At 41.4% G+C, this 20278-nt stretch overlaps 1 protein-coding gene across 3 annotated transcripts in view, besides 1 other annotated feature; it reads left to right on the top strand.

The window, feature by feature from the left end:
- The window catches only part of ZNF782 (zinc finger protein 782), a 117643-nt gene that overhangs the window by 38076 nt on the left and 59289 nt on the right, over window positions 1-20278 (top strand). For 2 of the 3 annotated variants that reach the window (XM_011518315.3, XM_047422870.1), the window contains exon 1: window positions 20145-20263. The exons of the other annotated variant lie outside the window; for it this stretch is intronic. The gene's annotated coding sequence lies outside the window, so the exon portion shown is untranslated. Of the gene's footprint in view, window positions 1-20144; window positions 20264-20278 lie in introns of those variants that run through there. 3 annotated transcript variants of the gene reach the window in all.
- Window positions 10562-11761: an enhancer, noted in NCBI's record as "CDK7 strongly-dependent group 2 enhancer chr9:99646252-99647451 (GRCh37/hg19 assembly coordinates)". NCBI's record gives its function as "activates an origin of replication core promoter dependent on BRD2, BRD4, P300/CBP, MED14 and CDK7 cofactors, with strong dependence on CDK7, by STARR-seq in HCT116 cells {active_cell/tissue: HCT116}" and the evidence as "EXISTENCE:reporter gene assay evidence [ECO:0000049][PMID:35650434]".

Below are 20278 nucleotides of genomic sequence, written 5' to 3'. Positions count from 1 at the left end.
CACCTAACCTCCCTAAGCCCCTACTCTCACTTGTGAACCAGAGTGATGCATTAGTTTTCCTGGGGTACCCTGAGTCTGAGTTCAGAACCAATGTCCAGTAATTCCCCCAAAGTCTGATTATTCCCTTTTCCCCAATGCACAGTCAACTTGGTAAAGTGCTATAGGTCCCTTTGGGGAAGGCTGAGAGAAAAATGAACAGTATACAATTTTGGTAATGCAGTGGGGACACAGCCTCCTCATTATTTAAGGAGATATGGGTCTGCAAACTGGCCCAAGTCTTGGAATTGATTCAGGAGCTGTGACTCCGTTTTTTTGATTCGAGTTAGACTTTTATTCACTTGATTCTTCTTTTTATACAGAACAGATAAGAATTTAGTAGGCTTTCCATCTCTTTTATTTCTATGGATACTATGACCAGCTAGCTAATGCCATAAGTCTCTGTAAATCGGACTTTCTAACTACAGTTTTGACTTTACTGTCCATTACAGTAACCATGTTCACCTTGTCTTTGGTGATTAAATGCTGCCACTTGGCCCCTGCCATCCTGGGATCCAGTTACTCTCCTTATACTTAAGAATCCCATTCAGTGGCAGCAGTTCCCACTGTAATTTCTGACCTATACAGAAGAGCAACCACAGAGCTCTTTAAAAATATTGGAACTCCCTCACAAATTTATTTCTCATAGTCATAACAGAAAGTGTGTCCTGAGCTAGATGTGGTAGCTCACACCTATAATCCCAGCACCTTGGGTGGCCAAGGTAGGAGAATCGCTTGAGCTCAGGAGTTTGAAGCCTGCTTGGGCAACGTAGCAAGACCTTGCCTCTATAAAAATTTTTAAAATTAGCCAGGTATGATGGTGCATATAGTCCCAGCTACTCAGGAGGCTGAGGCAGGAGGGTCTCTTGAGCCCAGGAGTTTGAGGGTACAGTGTGCTATGGTCACACCACTGCACTCCAGCCTGGGCAATAGAGTGAGCCCTGACTCTAAAAAATAATAATAAATAGAAAAAGAAAGCATGTCCTCTTGTTAAAGATTTTTCAATGACACTTGTTCAAGGATGGTAAGGCTGACTTTTTCAAGATCATCAGAATAGATACAGGGACCAATGCAATAGCATTTTACAGCGAGGGAGAGAGATTGGGCTCAACTCTGAATACAGTTTGGGTAAGTGGGAATTTATTGCCAAGGAGTAGGGTGGGGGTCAGTGGATTGAAAATTACTAAGAGGAAACTTCAAGAGTAAGGAAAGATTCTGGCTTAACTGACCTAACAGGATTCTTGCTGAAAACAGGCTGGGGTGTTGAGACACTACCTGGGAGATGGTGGAGGATGAAGCCCTGATCAGATATGGAGGATGATCAGATATTGAGCATGGAGGTTCTTTTTTTTTTTATGCTTTAAGTTCTAGGGTACATGTGCACAACGTGCAGGTTTGTTACATATGTATACATGTGCCATGTTGGTGTGCTGCACCCATCAACTCGTCATTTACATTAGGTATTTCTCCTAATGCTATCCTTCCCCCCTCTTCCCATCCCACAACAGGCCCCAGTGTGTGATGTTCCCCGCCCTGTGTCCATGTGTTCTCATTGTTCAATTCCCACCTATGAGTGAGAACATGCGGTGTTTGGTTTTCTGTCCTTGTGATAGTTTGCTCAGAATGATGGTTTCCAGCTTCATCCATGTCCCTACAGAGGACATGAACTCATCATTTTTTTTTTTTTTTTTTTTTGAGACGGAGTCTCGCTCTGTCACCCAGGCTGGAGTGCAGTGGCGCGATCTCCGCTCACTGCAAGCTCCGCCTCCCGGGTTCACGGCATTCTCCCGCCTCAGCCTCCCGAGTAGCTGGGACTACAGGCGCCCGCCACCGCTCCCGGCTAATTTTTTGTATTTTTAGTAGAGAAGGGGTTTCACCGTGCTAGCCAGGATGGTCTCGATCTCCTGACCTCGTGATCCACCCACCTCGGCCTCCCAAAGTGCTGGGATTACAGGCGTGAGCCACTGCGCCCGGCCTTGAACTCATCATTTTTTATGGCTGCATAGTATTCCATGGTGTATATGTGCCACATTTTCTTAATCCAGTCTATCATTGATGGACATTTGGGTTGGTTCCAAGTCTTTGCTATTGTGAATAGTGCTGCAATAAACGTACATGTACATTTGTCTTTATAGCAGCATAATTTATAATCCTTTGGGTATATACCCAGTAATGGGATGGCTGAGTCAAGATGGTATTTCTAGTTCTAGATCCCTGAGGAATTGCCACACTGTTTTCTACAATGGTTGAACTAGTTTATAGTCCCACCAACAGTGTAAAAGTGTTCCTGTTTCTCTACATCCTCTCCAGCACCTGTTGTTTCCTGACTTTTTAATGATCAGATAGCCTCCTATTTTTTAACTATGAGTTGGAATTTGCTGCTTTTGATATGATAAGAAAGTTCAAAGTTTCTCTTCCTTGCTTTGTTGTGTGTTCTAATTCTTTTCTGCCCATCCCCCAGTAAAGAAAAGGCTCAGTATGATTTCTTGAATAGATTGTTTAAGCTATTTTCAAAACAGGACTTGGTCAGGGGCAGGTAGTCTTAAATGTTCAGAAGCCACTGGATGGAAAATTGTGAGCACATAAGTGTTTTTCTTGGTCAACCATGTCATTTTATAGCCAAAGTTTGACTTGACATACTGGAATTAATCCACACGACTTTGAAAAGAATAAACTCTTTAAAAAGAGAGTGAGCGCTCCGAGGGTGTTATGAGAGTCACTGTCTGAAACCCTATTGATCATATTGTGGCAGAAGAAATAGAGTCCTGCCATGAATTATACTTTTCAGGTTAAAAAAAAAAAAAGCAATTTGTAGGACAGTTTGAATAATTTAGTACAATTGTTAAAAATACAGACATGCACATTCCTGTATGTGCATTTTTAAATGTTCACGAATGATATAAGCCAGATATATTTCTTAGAGGTGCTTGAAAAAAGTTATTTCTTCTTGGGCTTTATTATCTCAATTTAAAAAAATTAAGATGCATAATTCTCATAAGATAACAGATTCAGAAGAATATAGTTCAAGAAAAAAAATTAAAGAACTCATAAAGGAGAAGGAGGAGGAGGAAGAGAGTGTGAAACAGGAGCCTCAGATAACTTGGTAAAGGCATGTCTCCCATTTGGGAACTGATGTTCCTAAGATCCGCACTGACGCTGCTCAGCCGGTCCATCACACAGCAAAGGCGTGAGGAAGGGTCACTGCCCAGCTGGACTCCAGGGTGGTCCACGCATGACAGTCACACCGAACCTTCATGAGGATGTGAACTGTTGGCTCCAATTTACCATTCCCAGCAATTCCACTCAGATATTTGTATACTAATGTTCACAGCAGCGTGAACTCCACAGCAGGTGGAGTAATGTTCCATTGTGTGCATATGCCACATTTTGTTTATCCATTCATCTGTTGATGCACATTTCGGTTGTTCCCACCTTTGGGCTATTATTAATAATGCTGCTGTGAACATTCCCAAGAGAAATAGGAAGACGGCTTTGCTAAGAACTAAAAAAGGGATGGACAACAAGGGCATATACCCAGGGGCAGTGTTCTATCATGACAGCTTTACTGAGAGCAGAGTAGTTCTGCTCAGAATCAGAACACTTGTTCCCTATAGCCCCCCTGATTGCCCCACAACCACCACCGCATACTCCCCTTTTCCCAACCATGGGCAGCAGATTGAGCTATTAACAGAAGTGTCCTTTCGCTGGATTTCTCAACCCTTTCCTCATCGTCCACATAGAGAAACAGTAACAGATTGCTACTCACCCAACACCCAGGTCAAGTCCAATGCAGGTAGGAATAACAGCAAATCCTTCAATTTCTTGATTCTGCTCTTAAAAATCTTAACAGAGGCCGGGCACGGTGGCTCACGCCTGTAATGCCAGCATTTTGGGAGGCCGAGGCGGGTGGATCACCAAGACCAGCCTGGCCAAGATGGTGAAACCCCGTCTCCACTAAAAATACAAAAATTAGCCAGGCGTGGTGGTGGGCACCTGTAATCCCAGGTACTCGGGAGGCTGAGGCAGAGAATTGCTTGAACGCGGGAGGCAGAGACTGCAGTGAGCCGAGATCACACCACTGCACTCCAGCCCAGGTGACAGAGCAAGACTCCATCTCAAAAAAAAAAAAAAAAGACTTAACAGAGCATTTCACGGGGAAGGGCCATGAGGGAACATCACCTGGGTGATGGTAACATTCTGTATCTTGATAAGGATTTGAGTTATACAAGTATATACATCTGTCAAAATTCAAAGAATGTACACTCAAGATCTGTGCATTTCATTATATGTAAATGTTACATTAAAATGTTGTAAACAAATATTGAACAAATATACGCATGCTAAAGTATTTAAGAGGAAGTACTGGTGTCTGCAAAACAAAAATTTTTTTTCCATTTTCTGTGGTAAAATATACATAATATAAATGTATTATTTTAAGTGTACAATTCAGTGGCATTAAATACACTCAGAAAGTTGTGCAAACATCCCATTTATTCATTTCCACAGATTTTTTAATTCTCATTCCAAACAGAAGCCCTGTACCCAAAGAGCAATAACTCCGCATCCTCCAATCCCCACTCTCTGGTAACCTCTATTCTACTTTCTGCCTCTATGAATTTGCCAATTCTAGGTACCTCATATAAGTGGAATACAGTATTTATCCTTTTGTGTCTGGCTTCTTTCACTTAGCATAATATTTTCAAGGTTCATTCATGTTTTACATGTATCAGAATCTTGTTTTTTCAGGTGGAGTAATGTTCTATTGTGTGCATATGCCACATTTGGTTTATCCATTCATCAGTTGATGCACATTTCGGTTGTTCCCACCTTTGGGCTATTATGAATAATGTTGCTGTGAACACTGGTATACAAATATCTGAGTGGAATTGCTGGATCATATGGTAATTCTGCATTTAACTTTTTAAGGAACTGCCAAACTGTTTTCCACAGAGCTGTAACATTTTACATCCAAACCAGCAATAGGACCTGGATAAAAGGTGGCTAAGGCACAGTTAAATAAAATACTGTTAGTTACTGCCCATTTGCATTGGGTTTCTAGTGGCAAATAATCTAGCCGTGTCCTTGACTGGATCTCCCAATGATTCTTTTCAGTCATTTGAATGAGTATGGTGGTGGTGACACTGGCAGGAGGCTGGAGGGTACTTTAATTAACACGCGAACACACACAAATCCATTGCACCCCACTAAGCCGCCCAAACACACATGAAACACAAAAACTATCCTTGCTAGGGAAACACAGCCCTGGAACAAACCCCCTGGACCCCTTGTCACCACCAGCCCATCCTGTAAGAAAATGATGGTTGAAGCTGCAGTGACAGAATTGGAGAGATGCTCTGTTAGACAAGTCTGTCAGCTGAAAGGGGCAGAAACCATTGTTGAACTGCTTATATGAGAGGAAGACCTGGGTGGCACAGGCCTGGCTGGACGCAGGGCTCACAGAGCGTCATCAGCACTTCATCTCTTCCCCTGCGGGACCTGCTGTCCTCTGCGTTGCACACACCCCCCGCCAGGCTCATCCCTGTATCCTCCTTGGAGGAAAGTGCCAGGCTGGTGCTACTTGGCCCTGCCTGGGTCACACGCCTGCCTCGGGATGTGGAGGATGGTCAGCCCAGCCACAGCACATGGATTGCTATGTGAAGGATGATGTTCCACAAGAAAACCAGGACGGCTTCACCAGGGAGGCAAGAGCAGCAGATGCCCATGACAGAGGGTGTATACTCTGAATAAAAGAATTTGGATTTTTAAAAAGAGACAGGAAGAAAAGGACTTCCAAACTCTAGAAAGTTTAAAACTAGTAGAATGAAACATATTGTGTATAAATGTAAAGCTCTTTGTTGAGATTAAATATACGTATCAGTTAAATTTTATTTAAACATATATATACACATATACACACACACACATACATATATATGACCCAAGTACAGGATAAAGATGAAATTAATAAGTACTCTTTAAAAATCTTAGTTTTGGGGCTGGGCGCGGTGGCTCACGCCTCTAATCCAAGCACTTTGGGAGGCCAAGGCGGGCGGATCACCTGAGATCGGTAGTTCGAGACCAGCCTGACCAACGTGGAGAAACCCTGTCTCTACTAAAAATACAAAGAATTAGCCGGACGTGGTGGCGCATGCCTGTAATCCCAGCTACTCGGGAGGCTGAGGCAGGAGAATCGCTTGAACCCGGGAGGCGGAGATCGCAGTGAGCCAAGATGGTGCCATGTCACTCCAGCCTAGGCAACAAGAGCAAAACTCCATCTCAAAAAAAAAAAAAATTAGTTTTGGGATACCAGTAATTTCAGTATTATTAACAACCTGACTTGGGCACCCCAAAAGTTTGCAATAATGGCATTAAATGGCTGGATAGAGAAAGAGATGGTGGCGTGAATGCCTGCTTCCTGGTGTCATGTCTGGAATTTCATGTCCAGTCCTGAAAGCTGCATTTTAGGAAGGGTGCTACTGAGCGTCCAGAGAAGACAGCATTTCGCTTGGTGAAGGGAGTGGGCTTATGATGCATGGCAGGAGGAGTAATGTAGAAAGAAATAAGCTTTGCGGTGCATAGTGTAGAGAAATTCCTGCTTTGCGTCAAACAGACTGACCAGGCAGGCCTCACAGTTTTGCAAAGCCCTGGAAGCACAGGCTTGGCTGCAGATGTTGGATGACTTTCCAGACCAGTTTTGGAAAAAGCTCTTGAGGATCAGAAGCTCCTGGGATTTCTGTTATCACCTGATTTCATGGAGAGAGACAGTCCAGGGCCGGGAATTATGTGGCATCTATGTGTTCCCCAGTTGTGGGATCCATCTGGCCGATGGTTATGGTGGTCAGTGACTTTCAGAGGCCTGGAATTCATGACAGATGCTTTTGCTAATGTGCTTGGTGCCCCACTGAGGCTGCTGAGCAGTGCTTACCATGCGCCCGATGTCTCTTCTGTGTGCCTCTGAGAGCAAAAGTGGCCTCAGAGTCTGAAGGAGGGCAAAGTGGCCACAGCTGCAGACACAAAGTCCAGACTAGCTCTTGACCACATCCAAGTGCATCCTGCATTAAGCTCAGGCACATCAAACCTGCCCAATCAAGGTCTGCCAAAGGAAGGAGTCTGCAAATGACATTTCTCATAATCAAACACACTCTTAATTTGTTTTTATATTATTCACTCCATTTTTTGATTATTATAACTTTTAAAATTATGTCTAGTAGTTTTATCAATTGCTGAGAAGAGTGTTGAAGTCCAACTTACAATTGTGGATTTGTTGATTTCTTCTTTCAGCTTTATTGGTTTTGGTTTATGCATTTTAAGGCTCTGCTCTTGGTGTGTACACATGTAAAACCATTTTGTCTTCATAGTAAATTAATTTTTAAAAATCATTATGTAATGTCCCTCTTTGCTCCAGTAATTCTTTGCTCTGAGGTCTACTGTATTAGTATTAATATAGCGACTTCTACTTTTAAGTTAATATTTGCATGGTACATTTATTTTAATGCTTTTCATTTTCTTTTTTTTTTTCTTTTTTTATTATACTGTAAGTTTTAGGGTACATGTGCACAACATGCATGTTAGTTACATACATATACATGTGCCATGTTGGTGTGCTGCACCCAGTAACTCGTCATTTAACATTAGGTATATCTCCAAATGCTATCCCTCCCCCCTCCCCCCACCCCACAACAGGCCCTGGTGTGTGATGTTCCCCTTCCTGTGTCCATGTGTTCTCATTGTTCAATTCCCACCTATGAGTGAGAACATGTGGTGTTTGGTTTTTTGTCTTTGCAATAGTTTGCTGAGAATGATGGTTTCCAGCTTCATCCATGTCCCTGCAAAGGACATGAACTCGTCATATTTTATGGCTGCATAGTATTCCATGGTGTATATGTGCCACATTTTCTTAATCCAGTCTATCATTGTTGGACATTTAGGTTGGTTCCAAGTCTTTGCTATTGTGAATAGCGCTGCAATAAACATACGTGTGCAAGTGTCTTTATAGTAGCATGATTTATAATCCTTTGGGTATATACCCATTAATGGGATGGCTGGGTCAAATGGTGTTTCTAGTTCTAGATCCCTGAGGAATCGCCACACTGACTTCCACAATGGTTGAACTAGTTTACTTTTCATTTTCAGTCTACCTATGTCATTGTATTTCAAGTGAGTTTTTGTAGATCCAGCATAATGTTGTATCATGTTTGGTTTTTTGTTTTTTAGTCCACTCTGCCAATCTCTGTCTTTTAATTACTGTACGTAGACCACTTGAAGAATTGCCTTGTAGCAATTCTGATATATGAGGGCTGAAGTCTGCCATTTTGTTATTTGCTTGCTGTTGGTTTCGTATCTTTCTTTCTTTCTTCCTTCCTTCCTTCCTTCCTTCCTTCCTTCCTTCCTTCCTTCCTTCCTTCCTTTCTTTTTTGCAATGGAGTCTTGCTCTTGTTGCCCAGGCTGGAGCACCTGGGTTCAAGCAATTCTCCTGCCTCAGCCTCCCGAGTAGCTGGGATTACAGGCGTGTGCCACCACACCTGGCTAATTTTTGTATTTTTAGTAAAGACGGGGTTTCACCATGTTGGCCAGGCTGATCTCAAACTCCTGGCCTCAGGTAATCTGCCCATCTTGGCCTCCCAAAATGCTGGGATTACAGGTGTGAGCCACCGCATCCGGCCAGTTTCCTGTGTTTCTTGTTCATATGTCTCATTTCTTCCCTCTCTGTGGGTTATTTGCATATTTATTAGGATTCTATTTTGTTTTATTTATAGTTTTTTTTTTTTTTTTCGAGAGGGAGTTTGCTCTTGTTGCCCAGGCTGGAGTGCAGTGACGCATCCTGGCTCACTGCAACCTCCACCTCCCAGGTTCAAGCGATTCTCCTGCCTCAGCCTCCTGAGTAGCTGGGATTACAGGGACATGTCACTACGCCCAGCTAATTTTTGTATTTTTAGTAGAGATGAGGTTTCTCCATGTTGGCCAAGCTTGTCTCCAACTCCTGACCTCAGGCGATCCACCTGCCTCGGCCTCCCAAAGTCCTGGGATTACAGGCATGAGCCACCATGCCCAGGCTTATAGTGTTTTTGATCATACAGCTTTGGATAGTTTTCTGAGTGGTTGCTCTAGGTATAACAATACACATATGTAACTCATCACAGTCTACTAGTACTGATGTTTAACCAATTCTAGTGTGGTTTAACAACCTTTTCTACATTTACACCCCTTTACTCTCTCCACTTTTAAAATAAAATTTCTGTGGCATTTCCTCCATATACATTGAACACCATATTAGGTGTAGAGTTTTTGCTTTAACACTCAATTATCATTTAAGAAACTCATGAGAGGTTGGATAGTCTGTCATATTTGCCCTTATTTTTACTCATTTTTGATGCTCTTTCCTGTCTTAAGTTTCAACTTGTGAGCTATTGTGTCTGGCCTCATTCTTAAAGGATATTTTCACTGGATGTAGAATTCTGGGTTGACAGTTCTTTTTTTTTTTTTTTTCTGTACTTAAAAATTGCTTTCTACTTTCTTCCAGCTCCAGGGTTTCAGATTGAAAATGTTGGGCCAGGTGTGATAGCTGATGCCTATAATCCCAGCACTTTGGGAGGCTGAAGCAAGAGGATCACTTGAGCCCAGGAGTTCAAGACCAGCCTGGGCAACATAGGGAGACCCTGTCCCTACAAAAAATACAAAACTTAGTTGGGCATGGTGGCATGTGCCTGTGGTCCCAGCTGCTTGGGAGGCTGAGGCTAGAGGATCACTTGAGCCTGGGAGGTTGAGGCTGAAGTAAGCCATGATTGCACCAGTGCCCTCCAGACTAGGCCACAGAGTGAGACTCTGTCTCTGTCTAAGAAAAGAAAGGAAGAAAGAAAGAAAGAGGAAGGAAGGAAGGAAGGGGAAGGAAGGAAGGAAGGAAAAATAAGTTATTTAAATTGAGGCTCTGCAAGTAATGTGTTGTTTCTCTCTGATGCTTTCAAGACTTTTTTCTTTGTTTTTTTTTGTTTCCAGAAACTTAATTATTATGTGTCTTGGCATCAATGTCTTTGGGCTTACCATGTTTGGGAATCACTCAGATTCTTCAATCTGTAGATTTATGTCTTTTCCCAAATTTGAGACATTTCAGCCTTTATTTTTTCAGACACTTTTTCAGTGCCTCTCTCTCCTACTGGATCTCTGTTAACACAAATGTTAACCCTTTAGTTATTGTCTTATAGATCCCTGACATGCTGTAATTGTTCTCTTTTCTTACCTTTTTTTCTGCTGCTCACATTGGGTAAATTTTATTGATCTGTCTTCAGGTTCATTGATTTTATCCTCTTTTATGTCCACTATACTATTGAGCATATCCAGCAGGCTTTTTATTGTGGTTATCATATTTTTCAGTTCTCTAACTTGTATTTGGTTTCTTTTTGTAATTTTTGTTTCTTTGGTGAAATTTTCTATTTTTTTACTCCAAAAAAATCGCAATTGCTTGTTGAAGCATTTGATAGCTGCCCGAAAACCCTTGTTAGATAATACTCTATCTGATTTCTCTTGGTGTTAGTATCTGTTATTTTTTTCTTGTTTCTGTAGGATTTTTCCGATTCTTGGCATTTTTTTAATTGTATCCCAGATATTTTCTATATTATGAGACTGTGAATTCTATTTAATCTTTTTTAAATTTAATCCATTTAATCTTTTTTAAAATTGCAATTGCTTGTTGAGGCATTTGATAGTTGCCTGAAAACACTTGTTAGATAATACCCTATCTGATTTATCTTGGTGTTAGTGTCTGTTATTTTTTTTCTCATTTCTGTGGGATTTTTCTGATTCTTGGCATGTCAAGCATTTTTTAAATTGTATCCCAGATATTTTCTATATTATGAGACCATGAATCCTAGTTAACCTTTTTTAAGTGGGTATAGTGCCAGGGTCAGGTGGGTGTGTTTGTTCAGCTTCCTAATAGACTCCTCCAAACCATCCTGGTAAAAATGGGGCACTGACTCACACTGCATTGTTGCAGATGGGTGGGGTGAAAGTTCAAGTCCTTCTTCATCCCACAGTCATCTTCCTGGTCAAAGTGGGACGCTGACTCACACCACCTTGTTGCCTCTGAGTGTGACTATGTGACCAGCTCCCTGACTGGCTCCACTGCCTTCGGGGTTGTGGGGTGGGAGGGAAGGTAGGAAAGGTGGAAGGCTGACTCACACCACCTTGTTGCTATGAGTAGGAGTGGAGGGTCAGCTTGGCTCTGCATATTGTTGATATCAGGAAAGGGGAGAAGCAAAACATCAGCTACCCTTCCTTATGACACTCTATTCTGCCTTGTTGTTGCCAAGTGGAGGTGAAGGGTCAGCACCCAATGGACCTTCATGACAGGGCCTGGAGGGGTGAAGCCTCATTGTAACCAGCTCTGCCTTTTACTGCATTGTCAAATTTCATTGCTGCTGGGTGGGGGTGAAGGCTCAGCTCACTGTTTGACCCCACTGACACTACCCCTGTGGGGGAATCAGAGCACTGTCTGCTTCCAGGCAAGGCATGGAATCTCAGCTCCTCCTGCCACCCACTTCTGCCAGGCAGAGGATGCAAGATTAGCTCTGTGCTCGGCCCTGCCAATACCACCAGATTGGGAAATCAGAGTTCCCTTGCTTGCTTCCACAGGGTAGAGGGTAGTACAGCTTTTCTGTTGGTGTTTGGCTGGTGTAGGGCTGATATTGCTAAAAGCTTTTCTATTCATAGCCCATCCATTCCAAGACCTTTGGCTAAAGAGAACACACTTTTCTTAAGGCTTTTGTTTCATTGTCTGTGCCTATTGGTAGTTCTGGGTTGGAGGTTTCTGTAGTGCCCTGTCCATGGCATATGAGAAGCAGAAGGAAACAGAGAACTCATCACCCTGCAGTTCATCAACTCTTGATGTCTCTGGACAGCCCATCTTCTTCCATGTATCTTTTCAGAGTTTTGCTATGCTTGTTTATTGTTTTGTTTCCAAAGATTTCTATGTGTAGTAGGAAGGACTTTTATTTTTTATGTCGTTAGTTTTTCTGAACTTTCAGAAAGAGATGTGAAGGTTTCTGAATTTTCTGAAAGAGGTGTGAAAAGCCTTTCAAACTTCACAGAGCTCCCTTCTATTGGTTGTGTCTAGGGCTCAAAAATATGTCAACTTGGCTTTCTGAGATGTTCTGCCTTTATTCTCCTCCGTCCCTTTAGTCTAAACCTTCTCTCTCTGTCACCTTTGTTGTCCCTATCCTGCTTGATTTTCATTCCACTAGAAGCAGTCTCTCTTCAGTGTAGGTCCCTGCCCTAAAAGGGATCCCTGGCAGGTGATTTCAGAGGAGCTACACTGCTCCATCCCCTTCAGCTTATCTTACACAAGCCCCTTGAGCCCTACTGGTATTGGAGAAAACAAACCCCTCCTTTTAGAGCTGCTGTTCTGGAATCATCCCACCAATGCTTTCCTTGCTTCCTCCTACACAAGATGTCACTTGTAGTCAGGTGGCTTGTCTCCACACCCCATATTTTGGGATTCATGAAAACATCCTGTCACCATGTTTTTAAAAAATATATTGTCCTTGGTGTTTCGTGTTTAGTTTTGTTTCGATGTCTAGCTGCTTTGTCTTTCCTTTTTTTAATGTGGCAATGCAAAGAAACTAAACAACTTTACTGCAACTGTTGTCTTGCAGAATTCTGTCTTTTCATTCTTCATCTCCTATTGTCCATTCTTCTCATGACAGCCAGTGTGGTGTCTTCTCTGCATTGTTCCTTCATGAACAAGGTAACATCACTAGTTTTCATGGATTATCCAAATCAAAGAGAGAATTCTCGTTTTAAGTCACTGACACATTTAAACCACCCCTCCTACAAGTTCAGCAATGATAATTAAGGTGAAGAAAAACTTCAGCTAGTCTTTTGAGGCCACAGTGTCCAAGGACAAGATGTACTTTTTAAATTTGAAATTTCTATAATGGCATTGACATTTTACAATAAGACGTAACTAAAATATGTAAGCATGCAGTTAAAACAATCATGGAATGCTCTTGCTACATGACTGAGACCAAGAGATTGATTCTTTCCTACTGATGCTTTCAGGAATATTTTCAATTAGAGGCTTGATATTTCCATAGTTTACAGTGATTAGAGATTAAAATGTATAATACTATCACCTTTTTAAATAAAATGGGAGTACATTTATAATAAATTAATATAATCTCTGTAATTTGCTAATTTACAATGGAAAAGAGAATCAAAAGATAATTCAAAATACCTGATTAAAGGAAGCCTACTATTTTAAAAAAGAAATGCCTAATTTTTTATTGGTGCTCAAACTTAAAAGGAATTTATCATATGAAATATGCAAAAGGAAATAATGCGAAATGTACTGGCCAATGGCTGCTAATATGGCTTTATGGTGAATCATAGTAGACATGTATGCTCGACCTCCAAATAACTAAAGCTGCTTCTGTCCAATATCTCAGAAAGTCATTTTTATTTTAAAAATGCAGATCTAGTAACTTTTCTCATAACCTTTAACATCCCTTTTTCACAGAGACTGTCTTAATGAATTTAGGCCTTTTTTGGTGAACACATTCTTTAGTCACCTCAATCTATATAAATATTAAATAGTTAACTATTGAAAGCCTGAACACTTGTATTAAAAATATTATTTCCTAATATTATTTTTTAGATTTCTGATTATATGTTATTACAATGAGTATACACACACACACACACACACACACACACACTCATACTTCCAAAATAGTTCATTTTATACAATCCAAGCTCTTGTGTAAATTAACAAGGAAGGCTTAACATTTATGTGGAAATGCAGAAGACGTAAATAACCAAAACAACTTTATGAAATAAAACAAAGCTAGAGGATTTACATTTTATTTAAATAATTAATATAAAACTACAGTATTTACGATAGTGTGATATTGGCATAAGAATGGACATATAAATAAATGGAGGAGAATATGAAGTCCAGAAACAGAAAATGAACATTTATGGTCTGAACAACTGATTTTCTACAGAGGTGCCAAGATACCTCAGCAAGGGAAGGATAGTCTTTTCCATAAATAATGATGGAACAATTAGATATTTGTAGAGGAAAAAAAGTTCAAGCCTTACTACATGTTCCATATCATACACAAAAATTAACACAAAATGGATTATAGTCTTTAATTTTTTTCCATTGGTTTATGCAACTTTATTGAAGAAAAGTAAATCAATTACCAGCAGAGCTATTGGTTGATCACTCATCCATTCACAATTTGTATCATTTACAACATAATATCTATTGGATGCACCTAAAGCTGTGCTTATAAGAAATTTAGAACATTAAATGTTTATATTAGAAAAGGAAAAGTCTCAAATTAACAATGTAAGTTTCTACCACAAGACAGAAAAAGGGAAGCAAAATAAACTAAAAGCTAGAAGAAGAAAGGAAATGATAAAGATAAGAGGAATCAAGAAAATTGAAAACATAAAAACAAAAGAGGAAATCAACCCAAAAGTTGTGGGGGGTTTTGGAAGAGATAAATAAAATTGATAAACATCTAGCAAGATTGACAAAGATGAAGAGAAGATGTAAATTACCAACGTTAGGCAGAAAACAGGGGTTCTAACTATAGAACCTACAGACATTAAAAGCTTAATAAGTGAATAATATGAACAAGTCTATCCAAAATTCAATAACTTAAATGTTCTAATTGCTTGAAAAACACGAAGAAGACTCACCAACTATAAAATAGATAATTTAAGTAGTTTTATATTAAAGAAATGGAATTCATAGTTTAAAACATGCTGAAAAGGAAATCTCCAGGCATAGATGTCTTCCTTGGGTAATTATACCAAACTTTTAAAGATGAAATGACATCAGTTTTACATAAATTATTCCAGAAAACAAAAGTGGAGAGAACACTTCCCAGCTTATTTTACAAAGCCAACATTATGCTGATATCAAAGCCAAAGACAGTACAAAGAAGGAAAACTATAGACCAATTCTTCTTCTGAACATGGACACAAAGTTTACAACAAATATCAGTAAATCATAGCTATTAATACATAAAAAGAAAGATACACTACAACTAGGTGTGGTTTATTCAGCAAATGCAAGGCTGGTTCAATATTTGAAAATCAACCAATGTTATCTGCAATTTTGACAGACTAAAGAAAAAATAAAACACCACAGGATCATATCAGTTGATGCGGCAAAAGCATTTGACCAGATCAAACATCCATTTATAATAATAACTCTCAGAAAACTAGAGCTAGAAGAAAACTTTCTCAACCTAAAAAACGAGGAACCACAAATTAACTAAAGCTAGCATCACACTTGATGGCTAAAGTCTCAATGCTTTTCCCCTAAAATCAGGACCAAGGCAAGTGTGTCTGATCTCCCCACTGCTATTCAACATAGTACTGGGAATCCTGGCCATTACAATAATGTAAGAAAAGAAAAGCTATACAAATTGGAAAGAAAAAATAAATCTATCCTTATTTGCAGATTGCATGGTTGTCTAGATAGAAAATCCCAAGGAATCTAAAAAAAAAAAATCTTAAAACTAATAAGTGGGTTTAGCAGGATCACAAAATGCAAAGCCAACACATAAATATCAACCATATTACGTATTAGCCAAAAACAATTGGAAACTGAAATAAAAAACATAATGTTATTTACAGTTGCTCCAAAAAAGCTCCCCACTACTATTCAACATAGTACTGGGAATCCTGGCCATTACAGTAATGTAAGAAAAGAAAAGGCATACAAATTGGAAAGGAAAAAATAAGTCTATCCTTATTTACAGATTGCATGTTTGTCTACACAGAAAATCCCAAGGAATCTACAAAAAACAAAAAAAAATCCTAAAACGAATAAGTGAGTTAAGCAAGATCACAGAATGCAAAGTCAACACATAAATATCAACCATACTACATATTAGCTAAAAACAGTTGGAAACTGAAATTAAACATAAGCTTATTACAATTGCTCCAAAAGAGCGAAACAAATCTAACAATGTTCCTCTTTTTAAGGCCATAGCTCTTGTTGGGATGGTCTTTTTTGCCAGGCTCTGGTAACATTTCCTTCCCCTCACATCAACCCTGGCGGTGATAATGACTTCACTGTCACTAGTCACAGGGCGTCTCACCAACTCTGCCCAGGCTTTGTAAAAGTCCCTTTTATTAGATGCCTTTAAGTGTCCCATTGTTTCTTTTTTTGTTTGTTTTTGAGACGGAGTCTTGCTCTGTCGCCCAGGCTGGAGTGCAGTGGCGCGATCTGGGCTCACCGCAAGCTCTGCCTTCTGGGTTCACGCCATTCTCCTGCCTCAGCCTCCCGAGTAGCTGGGACTACAGGCGCCCGCCACCAGGCACGGCTAATTTTTTGTTGTTGTTGTTTTTGTTTTTTTAGTGGAGACAGGGTTTCACCGTGTTAGCCAGGATGGTCTCGATCTCTTGACCTCGTGATCTGCCCGCCTAAGCCTCCCAAAGTGCTGGGATTATAGGCGTGAGCCACTGCGCCCGGCCTAAGTATCCCATTGTTTCTTAACAATTGACTATGCCAAAGTGAGGATTTTTATCTCTTTTATTCCTTGTTATTATGCCAGCATCTACAATGATGCCTGTCACACAGCAGGTTTTCAATAAGTGTCTGTTGAATGAATATATGTTTGGACCACTTTCTTTCCATTAAAACATGAATAGTAATTCTTTAAGCATTGTGTTTTTCTTTTTTTAAAAGAAATTTATGGTGCACCATTTGATGTTTAACCTTAAGCATTTCTATAAATCGGTTACCAAAAATGCTTGCTATCTGGTGTTGGAGTGGATGTGAGGAAACAGCATAAACTGATACAAGCCTCTTTGAGGACTCCCTGTTAGCATCTGTTACATGTTCATTTGTACACATTTTAACTGCACAATTCTATCATTTTGGCTCTTGTGCAAAGAAATAATCTCACAAATATCAAAAGATGCATGAACAATGCTATTTGCCACATATTATTTATAATAGTGAAAACTGGAAACAAACATCCATCACAAAGAATTGATTAAATAAACATGATATTCCCTACAATGTAGTTAAGGAACAGAAAGATTTCCTTCTCTATAGCCTGATCAGATAACTCGATTAGGAGACAATTTTACATGTTAAAAGAAAATTGTAAAGAAGTTGTAACCATGTTTTTAAAAATGCATTGTTTGCTGTAGCCTAAAGTGCAGAGTTAGGCATCAGTGGACAATTGGTCGTACTTGGGAGGTGGGCTGGATATTAGGAGGGGGAGCTACATTATAGCTTTATGCACTGCTATAATCAAATTTGCAGTGTCTAAATTTTTTAAAGAAACGTTTAAATGTATTTACTTTAAATAATAAGCAAGGGAGTCCGGACGCGGTGGCTCACGCCTGTAATCCCAGCACTTTGGGAGGCCAAGACAGGCGGATCACCTGAGGTCAGGAGTTGGAGACCAGACTGGCCAACATGGTGAAACCCTGTCTCTACTAAAAATACAAACAATTAGCCGGGCGTGGTGGCGCGCGCCTGTAATCCTAGCCACTGGGGAGGCTAAGGCAGGAGAATCTCTTGAACCCGGGAAGCAGAGGTTGCAGTGAGCTGAGATCGCAGCATTGCACTCCAGCTTGGGCAACAAGAGCGAAACTAGGCTTAACAGCCTTTTTCAGTACAGAACTTAAGGAGAATAAAATAACAAGTTAACAAGTTGCCAAGTTGCCAAGCTTACTACAAAGCGAACAAATATGGTTGGGTTGACTGTTTATTATACTGTTACCTTTAGTCTTTACGAGTTCAAGGATTTTTATATGGAAGACTGTATTTAATAAAACAGAAGCAGGGTATTTGAGTATTAATAAGCCAATTAAGTTGTTTATAGAAAATATATTTTTTTGTCCTTCCCCCCAAAAAGCACACATGATACCGAGTAAGCTTCATTTTTGCACAGACGGAAAATTCCGTCTGATGAAGAGGCACATCCACCGGGAACGACCCCAGGCAGGGAGACCAGTTTCTTTCCCGCTGTCCCGGGACTTTGCCGGGAAATTGCTTCAAGACCGCGGACCGCAAGGAACGGACCCCGCCCGAACCCCAGCCCACGGGGCCCCCAGATCTCGCGGAGCGAAGCCTGAGGACGCGCTCGGACGCGGGCCTATGGGGAAGCCCCCAGTCTTGGCGGAGCCAGGCGGGAGACGCGCGGAGGAAGCGGCGCGGCAGGGCGCTCGCTGCAGCCCCCTCTGCCAGGTACCCCCAGGAGGCTGGAGCCACGCGGGTCCGGGGGCGGCTTCGCCCCGCTAAGCACCCCGAAGCCGGGCTCCTGGGTGCCCCGCCAAGATTCAGAGGTCAGGGCCTCTACGTCTGGGCGCGTCCCCTGTCCCTGCGCAGCGGCATCTGGGGGTGTTCCTTCGCCCGCGGCCCCCAGGAAAGTTGCTGGGAAGCAAAGCTTCACGGGTGTGTTCACGGGGATCGCACTGACTTTGTGACCAACCCTTGGGTGAATAGGTGCCACTATTTAAATTTATCATCTCACGGAAGAAATTATTGATGTTACGGAATAATATTGAGCAGATACATGCTCAATATGTATAATTTAGTAAAAAGATGTTCCTATGATATTATGACCGTATTTCCCTGGTTTGGTTAAAAAAATCAACAGGTGCTCATGTAAAGTTTAAGTAGGGACATCTCTGGGAGATCCATGATTTGCCTGATAGCCATTTTTTTTTCTTTTTTCTTTTCTTCTTCTTCTTTTTTTTTTTTTTTTTTTTTTTTTTTTTTGAGTCGGAGTTCCGAGTTCAAGCAATTCTCCTGCCTCAGCCTCCGGAGTAGCTGGGACTGCAGGCGCCCGCCACCACACCCCGCTAATTTTTTGTATTTTAGTAGAGACGTGGTTTCACCGTGTTGCACAGGCTGGTCGCGAACTTCTGAACTCAGGCAATCCGCCCGCCTCGGCCTCCCAAAGTGTTGGGATTACAGGCGTGAGCCACAGCGCCCGGCCATAGCCATTTTTTTCTTATTTTGCGTTGTGCGTATTTTTTGGTTTTTGTTTCTTTTGTTCCCCTTTCCTGAAACCCTGTTGGTCAGGGTCACAGGTACTATTCTTTTATAGTAATGCTGTGCTCCGTGTGCAAGTATTTCATTCACATTTCACAGCCTTATTCCCAAGACATATTTGTATGTACCTTAACGTCTAGGGGCTGCTTTGAGTTGAAAAGGCAAACTGATGGAGGGAGGATCCTTGTTTTTCTTTCTTTCTTCCTTTGTATTGAAAAATGTTTAAGCACACAGAAACGTAGGAAACGGTAAAATGAGCATCTATCTATAGCCATGCATGTCCTTGATTTAAGAAAAGTTAACCTTTTGCCATATTCGCTTTGTTAGTTTTTGCTGAAAAATTGTAAAGTGAATTAACTATCCTTTCAATGTTAAATGCTTCCCTGTGCATGTCTTTATAAAAACTAGTATTTTCCAATATAACTCCACTTAACAGTTAAGAATAACGGCAATGTTCTTTAATATTTATAATTGCCAGTACACATTCACATTTCCCAAATTGTTTCCAACGTGTTTGGCAGCTGTTTTTTCCAATCGGGATTTGATGGAGGACCACGCACCGTATTCGGCAGCAAAGTTCAAATTTAACCCATAACCTCTAGGGGCTCTGGCAGAACCTGGCCAGGCGAGGCAGTCAGGAACATCTTCCAATCATCCAATAGAGAAAACGCTGCGAAGTAAGTCGTGGCGTGGAGGTTTCTGGGAAACGTAGTCTTAAATCCGAATGGCTCGCGCGCCACACTCTAGGAAAGGGTCTTCTGGATGACGTCTGCGCATGTGCAAGCTTAGCTCGCTGCTTCACGCCTAGCTAAGGCTGAGAGGTGGTCCCGGGGCCCTTGGGTGTCGCGGGCGGGGAAGGTGCTCACCTGAAGTGGGACGCGGGGAAACCAGGTCTCCCCACAGCCTGTCAACTTCTAGTGAGAATGGGGCTTGTGATTCAGAGGGTGAGAACGGGAAGCCCGGGGGGACCCCAGGATCGACCCCCTCACGCTAGAGGTCCCGGGGACGCAGGTGGAGCTGCGCCCCCTTTAGGAACAGGTGTTCAGTGCGAACCTTGGGGAAAGCGCATGCCCGCGGCGGCAGAGGAGAGCCCGTTTATAAACGTTGACCAAAGTGCCAGAACTCGTGGGCGCTGTGTCTGTGGCAAGACCCCGAGCTGTGGAGACCGAAAGAGCTGCATAAATTCCAGCTTTATTACCTGTAAGCGGGGGGCGA

The sequence above is a fragment of the Homo sapiens genome, chromosome 9 (assembly GCF_000001405.40).
Source record: "Homo sapiens chromosome 9, GRCh38.p14 Primary Assembly".
Lineage (NCBI taxonomy): Eukaryota > Metazoa > Chordata > Mammalia > Primates > Hominidae > Homo > Homo sapiens.
This window is presented reverse-complemented; position numbering and strand designations above follow the sequence as displayed.